The 12563-nt window shown below is 33.2% G+C and overlaps 1 protein-coding gene across 5 annotated transcripts in view; it reads right to left on the bottom strand.

The window, feature by feature from the left end:
* The window catches only part of AIMP1 (aminoacyl tRNA synthetase complex interacting multifunctional protein 1), a 33913-nt gene that overhangs the window by 14400 nt on the left and 6950 nt on the right, over positions 1 to 12563 (bottom strand). For all 5 annotated transcript variants that reach the window (NM_001142415.2, NM_004757.4, XM_047416410.1 and 2 more), the window contains exons 2-5: positions 9939 to 10072; positions 7493 to 7606; positions 6814 to 6981; positions 3174 to 3385 (exon numbers count right to left, since the gene is read on the bottom strand). In NM_001142415.2, the coding sequence (NP_001135887.1) occupies positions 3174 to 3385; positions 6814 to 6981; positions 7493 to 7606; positions 9939 to 10047 (603 nt within the window). In that variant the 5' untranslated portion in view covers positions 10048 to 10072. The remainder of the gene's footprint in view (positions 1 to 3173; positions 3386 to 6813; positions 6982 to 7492; positions 7607 to 9938; positions 10073 to 12563) is intronic.

Genomic DNA, 12563 nt, shown 5'->3' with positions numbered 1-12563 from the left:
CTGACCAATGTTATTCTTTTGCTCTAAAATCCTACAATGGCTTTCATCTTACTCAGAAAAAATGCCAAACTTTACAATGATCTATAAGACATTTGGCACCCTTATCTCTGATTTCATCTCCCATGACTTTCTCAGTTATTAACCCTGCTCTATTCATATCGGCCTCCTGCTGTTCCTTGAACATCCCAGCCATCCATTTCTCCCAGGACTGCCTGAAATGCTCTTCAGCCAGATAAACACATGACTTGCTTTCATTTTCTTAGACCTTTACTCAAATGTCACTTTCTTTTTGAGGTCTTCCCTGGGCACTTTATATAAAATGTCAATATCATCCTGGCCTCAATACTTACTAGATTCTTTCCCTATTTTTCTCTTGGCACTTATCACTATTTAACATACTAAATATTTACTTACACCTTGGTAATATTTCTGACTCCCTTATACAAATGTGAGCTTCATAAAGGCAGGGCTATTTTTAAAAATATGTTTGTTGCTTGTGTGTGGTGGCTCACACCTGTAATATCAGCATTTTGGGAGGCCAAGGCAGGCGGATCACCTGAGGTCAGGAGTTTGAGACCAGCCTGGCCCACATAGTGAAACCCTGTCTCTAATAAAAATACAAAAAATTAGCTGGGCTTGGTGGTGGTGCCTGTAATCCTGGCTACTCGGCAGGCTGAGGCAGGAGAATTGCTTGAATCCGGGAGGCAGGCAGTGGTTGCAGTGAGCCGAGACTGCCCCACTGCACTCCAGCCTGGGTGAGTCTCCAAAAAAAAAAAAAAAGAAAAAAGAAATTTATCTATCTCTGTATTTTAATTTGTTGCTGTATCCTTTACTTAGGTGCTTGGTGCTTAATAAATACTTGCAGCTATAAATATAATTGAATGAACACAGGGATTTGTTCAAGTTCACAAAACCAACAAGCAGCAGAGTAGCAATAAACAAAGGCAGAACTATCGTAATGTTGAAGTCCATATTCTTTGCAATATCTCTGAAGCACCATGGGACAGAGGAAATAGGTAGATGATTCAAACCACCATAGAAGACATCTAGAAAGAGGACATTTAAAACTGCTACTGTCTTCGATTCTTTCCACTGTTACTAGATTTTTTAAAAACCATATTTCTTCAAGAAAGTAAATATGGTATTCAAAAGTAAAGAAAAAGGAAGAAAGTAAACTTTTGTTGAGAAGGAGGTTTGAAAGCTTATAAGAAAAAAAGCAACAGTTAGAAACCACTGCTCTGAAGGGTATCATCATGGAGTATCAATTTGCTTTTAAAACGGTTATCATGCAAGGTTATCCTTCATAAAATATACCATCAATACTTTTCACATATTCCAAATACCCAGCTCTAATTTCACTATAGAAAGAATTAAATTTTAAATAGGGAATAATATTATATAAACTGTAACCATGGTTTGTTTTCTGAAGCTACACAAAGCACAGTCCCTGGTGCTAAACTCACCAGAAGAAAGGAAAAGTGGAGATACTCTAACCTCCTATCAATTTCTTTTATGAAACACTTAAAACCCAAACTTCACTGGCTCGGATAATTAATCATTGGAGACCTAAAAGAAATGAGCTTGTTAAGTAGGAAGTAGAAGAAATCACTTCCTTGTACTCTTGATGATAGGTCAATATTGATCCATTACCCGTACTGTGTTCCAGCAACGCTGAAATTAGAGAGCCAAAACAAAAGCCCAGGCTAGGGATCAAAAGTGCAATTTGATGCAATTATGATACAACTGTCTACCAAATAAGTAAAGGAAATGAGTAAGGAATCCTAGACAGAAAAAACAAGTAACACCCTTGTTTTTTTGAGACATGGTAAAAAAAGATACTCGAGTCTCTTCTTAACCTTCCGTAAATATAACACTAGCAGAAAAGTAAAGATAAATACCAAATAATCACAAGTGACCTTCCACCTCAACTATGGAATGGTTGAAACTGTGTTAAAGAGTCTAACTTCCACCTAAAGGGGCTATCCATTACTAAGTGTTAACCAATTTCTGCCTTAAGAAAATAGCAGGGGGTTGGGAAGGGTAGGGGTGGGGCTTAGTTCTGAATTTTTAAGAAACAAGACATCAGGATTTTCATGTAAAATTCCATGTGTAAGTATTTTATGAAATACTATGAAAGATAAACTGAAACTTTTTGGGATTGCATTCTTTCCTTGGCCCAGCAGTTTGTAATTTATGACCTTGGTCATATGCATGGCTCTAAAAACTACATAGCACCTGTAGTTAGAAGTTTCATGACTAACTCCACCTTGAATGGTAAACAGTAAAGCTGAACAGTATAGGGATTAAAGATAATCAGCCTCAGAGTGAGATAAATGAGTATATATATATATATCTATATAGACAGATGTATAATGAGTATATATCTATAGATACATAAAAAAGTGAACCAACTTATATATATATGTATATATATATATATATGTATCTCTGTATATATATAGCATAACTTGGTTAACTTTCCTAAACGTCATCTGTAAATGAGGGTGATACTACTTAACTGACAGTTGTATATAGTAAGAAATAAAATAGCATGTGAAAAAAATTTATCTATTAAGTACTTCTAACACAATAGTCATCATAATCATTATTTTTATCACTGCTTCATCATGGAATTTTATAATTCCTTGCTTTTCAAAATCATGTAAAATAAACCCAGAAAGCACCAATCTAAAAGCATGAGAGCAAGTTTTATTTCTCTAAAACCCAAAAAATATTTTCATACTTGAGGAAAAATGAGGAGAGGGGATCACGGAGATTGAACTTGTAATTTTTAATAGTATTCCTTTATTTGTTAAAAATGGGATGTTTTGTATTTTGTTGTTACTTAGATTTCAAATATATTTTATATATATATACACACCAATAGTTTTTTAATGCAAAATACAAAAGTAAAAATACTTTAAAAATAGATAAAATAATACATCTTTTCTTCTTCCTATCCTTATGCATTATATCTTAATTTACAGATGTTTTACAGGTTTTTGGTGGTTTTATGCTTTTTTTGTGTAATTAACCACATTCAAACTAATCGACTGAACTAATTAACAAGGGCACATGTTGTATGGTATACAAAATTATAATGGAAAGATACCAAGAAGGAGGGAATGAAAATGTTGTATGTACACAACAGGAATTTCAGTTGTACAGATTACCTGTTCAAGAGGAACATGATTCACCAGGCCACTGACAACTGTCCTTGGGGCTATTTCTCCGACATCTACTTCTTCCACATACAAAGAATCTGCATCAGGGTGTTTTCTAGCAGTTATGATGCAACCAATTCGAAGATCCAGACGGGAAACATCTATTGGCTTAGAGTCGGCACTTCCAGCTATTGATTGCTGTTTTTTCTCCTTCTTCTCTCCTAAAAAGTATTTATGAATGGGTAAACATCAGAAATAAAACCAAGCAAAAAAACACTATGAAAACTCCATGGTATCCATACCAATGAGCTTAAAAGGAAAAAATAAAAAGAATGTTTATCTCCTACCTTCACTTAAATAATAACAAAGAAAAAAATTATCCAAGTCATAAAATCTTGAATCCTATTTTAGCTATTTCTCTGTTGTATTTCTATTTGAAGACATTGTGTGAGGTTGGCAAACTATGGCTCATGGGACAAATCCAGCCTGTTGCCTGTTTTCATAAATAAAGTTTTACTGGAAGACAACCATATTCATTCATTTACATATCATCTATGGATACTTTTGCACCAGGGCAGAGTTGAGTAGTTGTGACAAAGGCTTTAGGCAGAAAAAGTTTGCCTTTCCCCGAAACAGGATAATAGAGACTCCTCTAAAAACTTTTACTATGGCTCTTTGGAAGGTGATAAATACTTTATTTAGAAAGAACACCACAACCAGTACCCAAATGACAGAATGAACTAGAGCAGAATGCAATTTCACTCATTAAATATTTTCCTCCTCACTTATATACACTAGTAAGTACATAATTAATTTCTCCATTTCTTAGATTTCTCTGAAGATATATTAGGATTTTAGGGTTATCCACAGTAACTATTTAAGCAGATAAGAATATTTTATTCTGATTATGTTTTAATAATTATATTTTTATTTATTTGCTGAAAATGTAACTCTTATTAACACATGATTATTTTAGCTACTGAGTTAATTGTAACCTGCAAAGAGGATTCATATTCTTTAAGTTTACAATTAGCTTTTCTGGCCCCAAAAAAGTAAAATCAAAATAAAACCTTATTTACCTTTGAATCCAAAGAACAGAGATAAGCTATTGTAGCTTGGAAGCATTCTTTCTCAACTATACATTTATTTAATCTTTCAACATACGGAGTGCTATGACACTGGAAACAGTAAGATGGGCAGTCCATGTTGTCAAGGCACTCAAAATCTCTTTTAAAGAAGACAGACATGTATATGTATAATGAATATGTGATAAACATGACATACACAAAGAAATATAGAAACTCAGTGAAGAATAATTCTGCATGAAGCAGGAAAGGAGAATTCTGTGTAAAGGTATTCATAATTCATACAACAATAAGTTTATCAAAGAGGGGATGGAATTAACTTAAAATAATGGCCAATTTTTAATCTCATTAGCAAGCTTTAAAAAAATTCCATTTTCCATAAACAAATTAGCAAAAATTTTTCAAAAGGTAAAAATCCAAATTATACAGAAAAATATGTACAACAAAATTACCAGAATATGCCAAAAATCTTAATATTTTTGTGTGATAAAGTATATGCATTTACTTTAAAAATACTGTAGTATAACAATATATCTACATTTGTATATATTTTAAAACTCTAATGTACTTCCTAGGCATTTGAAATACTTTTATCAGGAATCCCCATTCTAGAAATGATTGCAAATATTAAAATCTATACCAAGATCTTTGTTAATTATCATAAGGAATTTCAGAAATCCTTCACTGACAAATGAGTGACGCTCAATTAAGATATGTGGCAGTCTAGCTGGGCATGGTGGCTCATGCCTATAATCCCCGCACTTTGGGAGGCTGAGGCAGGTGGATCACCTGAGATCAGGAGTTCGAGACCAGCCTGACCAATATGGTGAACCCCTGTCTCTACTAAAAATACAAAAATTAGCCAGGCATGGCGGCATGCACCTGTAGTCCCAGCTACTTGGGAGGCTAAGATAGAATTGCTTGAACCCGGGAGGTGGAGGTTGCAGTGAGCCGAGATTATGCCACTGTATTCCAGCCTGGGTGACAGAGCAAGACTCCGTCTCCAAAAAAAAAAAAAAAAAAAAAAAAAAAAAAGATATGTAGCAGTCTAGAAAGATCATATGGGCACCACAGCCCTTGCATGAGCAGAATCTGGCAGTCCTAGCTAGCAGCTAAACACCTATGGAACAGCCCTCTATAACCAGCACTGTCTAATATGGTAGCTGCCAGCCACATAGGTTATTTAAATTTAAATTTAAAATTATTTAAATTAGAAATTCAGTTTAGTCATACTACCCACATTTCAAATCTTTAATAACCACATGTGGCCATTGACTACCATGTTGGATAATGCAGATATAGAGTACTTCCATTATCATAGAAAGTTCCATTGGATAGAAGTGTTCTAATCTTATAACTCCATTTGGTCTTGTGGTCCTGTGTGCTCCCTCTTCCATCAAAGGAGAGCCTTGTTGCCTTCTCTAACTAGAAGACTGATTAATCCTGAGTCAGAACAGTGCACCCTCCTTAGAGAATAGAATATGGATTCCACCAAATTTGCAAGAACAGGTTATATAGTTGTTTTGTGTCTACTTCTTAACGTACTTTATAAACTAGAAGAGTTAGTCTGACTTGCTTTCATTGTAATCATACCACCTAGTGGTGAAGTTGTATAGCAGAGGCTGTACAGCCCCTACCTACTTTTAACTAACAGAGGTTACTGATGTTTGCCAAAGGAACTGGCAAGTGCTTTAGAGGCTAAATTGGCTTGGGTTAGTTCATAAATCCCTCTGCATGTTATATTTTCCAAAAAAAAAAAAAAAAAGTAAATAAGTTTAAGTATAATGAGAAATATTCATAATTATTTATAAAGGCAACTTTTTAGACATATCTGGGGAAAGGAAGTCAGATTTACAATTAGAATAAATAGCTTTAGCAGCAAGGCTAAAAATAAACTAGAAAAGATGAGGCTTTAATATTAATTCAGATGAAAGATCGTTGAAAACCTGAACTGAGGTAGGACCTAATGAAAAGAAAGAGCAGAGCTGGGGTCTATGTATGTTTTGGGGACAGGAATAATAGAATTTGTTGGTTAATTAGATATGAAGAACAGGGAATAGGGACAGGTTAAGGTTGATGACTAAATTTCAAGGGTTGTTGCCTAAGTGGATGGTGACATTTCTATCTACTTTAGTTCTCATGGATTCTTGAAATCTTAGTTCAGACAGTCTGTTTTGACTGGTGGAATGTTCTTTTCCTATCTTCACAACTGGTCCTAAGCTAGTTTCCTATCTGTGACTTCTCTCAAACTATACCACAAATAGATACCAAAATTCAGCCATACCAAACTACATATGGGTTTCTACACTTAACCTTTACAGTCTGTTTTAACTTATGCCAGTCCCTCTGCCTAAAATGCCACATTTTTACCCCGTTAATCTGGTCAATATTCACACACCATTTAGGACCCAGCTTTTATGTTCCAATATCATATTGTTCCTAATTTTATCCTAGCTCATGAAAGTTGAACTTTACTTTTGATACTATTATTATTATCATTATCAAAACTTGACATTTTCTGATAATCCAGTCAAGAGCTAAATATGCTTAAAGGTCAAAAATACCTTTCTTTTCAATTTTCTCTTTCGCTTTCTTTTCGTCTCCTGTTCCTCCTTTTATCTGTTCTTTGGTACCAGAAGATACGGTTGTTACTGCTGTAGACTGTATCACATTTTCAGAAACCATAGAATTAGCGTGCAGTGGAGTACCAGATGGAAATGGTATTTGCTTCACTGAGACAGAAAATGAAATAATGTCATTCATATTAAACCAATAAATATGACAAAAAATATGAAATTGTGAACCACAAATGGGAACTCTTTTTAAATGAAAAATTCACTGTATATGGCTATCAAATATCCACTGTCTGAGACTATAAAATGGCTGCCAAAAAATTAGGCATATTTTAGCCATAATTGAGGTATCAAAGAATAAAGGCATGATTCCCATTTAATCAATTACTAAACCGAGAAACCTGCAAATAAGAACAGCTAACATTTATTATGAACTTACTATGCCCCAAACACTTTTCAAAATGCTTTATACAAATTAACTCATGTAATTCTCATACTCTAAGAAGTAGGTTCTATCCATGCCCCCATTTTATTGATAAATCTGAGTCATTTAGAAGTTATGAAGTTGTCCAAGTTGCCTAGATACAGATTCTTACTTCTTTCCTCACTGTTGGTGTGACTGGCCAACTTCTTAACTTCTGGATTACTCAAATTTTCTATATTTAATTACCTCCATTTTGAATTTCTGCCTGAATTAGCTCTTGTTTCAGTTCTTCAATTTCTTTCTTCAGTTTAGCATTTTCAACTCGAAGTTTCTTCTCTTCCCTCAAAGTTGCCTGCAAAACTAGGATCAAGAACATCCAGTTAAAATATGTTTTTAAAAGAGGTTTTGTATGAATACTATTTGAAAAGAAGACAGCCAGTATAACTACAGCTAGGATAATACTAGCTCTAGTGTAACCAAATGTTTGGCCAGTGCCTTTATGCCAGTTTAATATTTATTAAAACAACATGCTATTTAAGAGAGAGAGAGAGAGAGGGAGAAAATATATGAAATAAGAGTAAAACAGAAAGACTTTGTTTATGAATCATTTTCCTAGCTCCTATTAAGATGCTAACTAAGATCAAATTACCACCTTTTCAGCATTGCGGCTATAATAAAAGGCAATGGCAAATAACTTAAGAAGCTGGCACAAAAGTGTCAATATGTGGCCAGGTGTAGTGGCTCATGCCTGTAATCCCATAATCCCAGCACTTTCAAAGGCTGAGGCAAGAGGATCACTTGAGCCCAGGAGTTTGAGACCAGCCTGGGCAACATGGCAAAACCCATCTCTACAATAAATACAAAAAGTAGCTGGGGGTTGTGGTACATTCATGTGGTCCCAGCTACTCAGGAGGCTGAGGTGGGAGGACTGATCGAGGCTTGGAGATTGAGCCTGCAGTGTGAGTTGAGATAGTGCCACTGTATTCCAGCCTGGGTAACAGAGCAAGACCCTGTCTCAAAAAAATTTTTAAAAATAAAAGATAAAATGTCAATAACAGATGCTGAAAAAAAAGAGAAGCATTATATTAAATTATATATATATTTTTAAAAAAATTCTGAGATGTTACCACACAAGCAAAAACTATTCTCATGTCTTTCTTTTTAGTCATTACCTTTTAAAAGAAGCTGAATATTGCTAAAGTCTGAGTTAAGCTAATCAAACATTCAATGAGTGAAATAACTCAAGGATTTGCTCAAAATATAATGTATGTGTTAAAAGTGTGCAATGGGGTAACAAAAGTATAAGAGAAAAATAATGGTTCTCAGTGGGGTTGGTACTGCTTTGTAGGTAGGATTTTGAAAATCTGTAGGATTATTTTTGATTGTTAGTACTGGCATTTATTGGGCAGAAGCCAAGAATGTCAGATGTCCTGCAGTATGCTGGATACTCCTGCAAAATGAAGAACTGTTTCACATCCTGCAGAACTTTATAGTGGCCTATCATAAATTTGTATAAGTAAAAATCCTATTAATAATTATTTGAGTCTAGATTTTTAACTATTCTTTATATATAAACACAAAGTGTTTTTAAGCATGCTTATTATACCCTAAATTTTCTATGAATCAAGTACCACATAAATCAAGAGTAGACTGTACCTTGTTTTATTCAAAATACTATCTAATCAATCACTCATCAGTTTGAATAAATCATCTATATCACTATCTGCTTCTGGTATCTGAGACACCTACACAAAGGCAGTCTGACTATATACCTATACTAGTTGGCATTGTACCTATTGCATTCTTGATGATTCCATGTATGTGAATCATGGGGCATGTGACCCTCTTACACTGCCTTTAGTGGTATAATTCTGCTGAAGTATTACTTACTGAAATACATATTATTGTTACTACTACTTATACCTTTCTTTTTATTTCTCTTCTCTATTTTATATATAGGATTAAGATATGTTTTAAAATTATATATAGGTAGGTTATTTTTCTAGGAAATATTTTCCTTACAGGATATTAACAGAGATTTTATAAAACATTCATCCTAAATTGGGAGCAATATGACTAAAAACTACCAGTATAGGCTACCAAAGAATAATATAAAGGTGAAGAATAAGTAGAAAGATTTTCAAACTGGCAAAACTAAAATGCTTATCAAGAGGCTAGGAAATGGCCACCTACAGAAGACAAAATTTGGTTTACAACATATATTATATCATATGAGCAATGACTATGTCCAATCTCTTCATCTTTTTAATAAAAAGAGAGTAAGAATTTTTAAGAAAAATAATTTTAAAATCTCGAGAAACACTATAAAAAAAGAAACAAAGTGGTATGTTAAAATTAGAAAAAAATTGATAAAGTTTCTGGAGAGTAAATACAGGTTTTTGTAAGCCATTAGCTTACAAAACGTAGGAAAGCATTTATTTCTACTAGTGACAGCAAAAGATTTTGAAATTTCTATTCTGACATTGACTACTGAAAATAAAATACATTTAAACAAACAAAACCAAAGCCAACTGAAGTCCTGAAGGTAGAAATTCAGGTTTGATATTTTTCTACATATAACAGAAACTTCTAAGTAAAACTTAAATAACTTAAAGCGGTAAACATTATTTTTTCTCCATCAATGTATGAATTCATTTTAAGTATCTCCTCAAAAAATTTTAAATTTTCTTACTTGCTTTCTCCTTAAGTAGAGAAACTTGCTGCTTAAGATATTCAATGATTTGATCTGCCTCTGCACCCTTCTGCTCCAGTCTCTTCAGAACAGCATCATTATTTGCCATTTTTGCCAAGAGACGGCAGAAAATCCTATAGGAAAAATAAAAGTGATAAATTACACTGTGAAAGGAATAAATTTATACTATAGGCCACTATGAAAAAGCAGTCTGAAAGGAAAAACATTTTCTACTGTAATAGATAAATATCTTAGAAAAATAGTTTTCCTATGGAGAGCAACAAGCCAAACAAATAGCAGAAATGTTAAGTAGACTAATTCCTGAATCTACTTAGAAGAGGAAATATAGTTTGTTCTTAAATGCAGAAAACAGGCTATTTAGCCACATTTAAGGTTGAAAGCTTTCAAAGAAAGCTTCAGGTACACTAAGAGATAAGAATAACAATAACCGTAACTATGCTAATGAGTATTACATCTGTGTTCCAAAGTAAAGAGTTGCTGATTTCATTCCTTTTATATTTCTGTATACTGGATCCTTCTACTGTGTATTCACTTAGGTACAATTTTCAAGAAGAAAACGTCAATTAGGAAAGATAAATATTAAAAGAAAAAATCAACAATTAAGAAAATATTAATCATATGCTTGTTCAGATATAATGTCAGTATATACCGTTGTCTTTATTTTAAAAATTAGAATTTTAGTTTTATAATAAATTCAGAGAAATTTAAAAAAATACTATCAAGGTACAGAAAAATGTATGTAAGCAAACATTCTGAGATTAATTCACCATGTTAAAATTTAAACTGCCACATACTAAGAAAAATAATCACACTGACAATGGAGAGGTTAATCATTAGTAATACTATGAACTGTTCTTTTCTACCTGATTTAACAAGAATTTATAATTCAAGGTATAACAATGATACAAGTATTGCTGAAATAATTCTAACTTTAAATAAATGAAGCAGTACTCAATATTAATGGTGAAATTTTGAATAAAAACTAGATAATAGACACGTAACAGATTGTTTGAAAATTTCAAATTATTATATAATACCAATCCTATATAAAAAATATTCTGAAAAGCCACAATACACTGGCTGGTATTTATTTTTGAGGTGACTGTCTAGATCTGTTGGCTCATTTTTGAGCATCAGTCTATACTTAAATCTACTTGTTTCATATTAGCTGATACTAGTTTTCTAGTTTTTCTCTTAATTTTGAAATTTGAATAAGATGATTTGAGCCATATCTTTTCAAAATGTATTTTTCTAAAATGCACCAATTCATTCATTTTAGTATTATTCATCAAATATGTCTTTGCTAGAGATGTAAAACTTGCCAATTCTGCCTAATCAGATACTCATTATTGTTTGTGATAGCTACATTTTACCTATTGAGTATATTTCATCATTACTTATGTTAGACTAAAATAAAAAGACATCAAAAACTAAAGAAATGCTGTACTCAGGATACTAAAATTCAGAAGAGCATAGTTTTTTTTTTTTTTTTACTTTAACTTTCTTCATATATCCATTTCTATTAAGATATTTTCTCTACAATTCTGGCTTTGCAAACGTTTAAGTAACAACATGGTATTCTGTGTTCATTTTGGTAAAAATAGCAGAGTTTAAAGGTGGTATCTTCATTTGAATTTTTGTGCTCTTTTGGTCTGTATTTTTCTAAACTGTTAAAATAATAGTCCATAAAGAATAATGCTCATAAATAAGCCAACAGTTCTAGACAGTCCTTCAAAAATAAATACCCACCAAGTTGCTGAAAAATCAAAAAAAGAAACTCATGTTCTGACTCATACAGAAACATATAAAAAATCTTCTAAGAATAACAGTAATTTTGAAAATAGAGATAATAAATCCTAGCCTAAGAGAAAAAAATACAATTTTACTGAGTTGATAAATCTGTTAACTATTTGCAAAATATAAGTGGAATAGTTAGTTACATAAAATATGACTTTTATAATACATATTGAAGAACAAGCATAAGTTTAGGAAAGAGAATGTCATGTTTCAAAATACAGAAATACAAATGAACTAAACACTAAATACACATATGCAACTACTAAAAGGAAACAATGTGATAAAAAGAAGTGATAAAACTTTTTTTTTTTTTTTTTGAGACAGAGTCTTCCTTTTTCACCCAGGCTGGGGTGCAGTGGCACGATCTTGGCTCACTGCAACCTCCGTCTCCTGGGTTCAAGCGATTCTCCTGCCTTAGCCTCCCAAATAGCCGGGATTACAGGTGCCTGCCACCTGACTAATTTTTGAATTTTTAGTAGAGATGGGGTTTCACCATGTTGGCCAGGCTGGTCTCGAAATCCTGACCTCCCTCAACTGATCTGCCCACCTCGGCTTCCCAAGGTGCTGGGATTACAGGTGTGAGCCATTGCACTGGCGCCCAGACTCTACTTCTTCTCCAGTCCTAGATAACTGGGTATCTGGAAATATTATTCATGATGCCAATGTTAAAAAGTCTCATCTTGTGAAATCTAAAAATATTTCACTTCTAGTTACGTCTGTGTGTTAACAGAACTGTGCTCAAGTGCTAAAAGCCATTTGCTGTCTTTAGAACAGAAGCTCTGGAAACAGGTTTTCTAATACTTGTTG

Source organism: Homo sapiens, chromosome 4 (genome assembly GCF_000001405.40).
Source record: "Homo sapiens chromosome 4, GRCh38.p14 Primary Assembly".
Classification (NCBI taxonomy): domain Eukaryota; kingdom Metazoa; phylum Chordata; class Mammalia; order Primates; family Hominidae; genus Homo; species Homo sapiens.
This window is presented reverse-complemented; position numbering and strand designations above follow the sequence as displayed.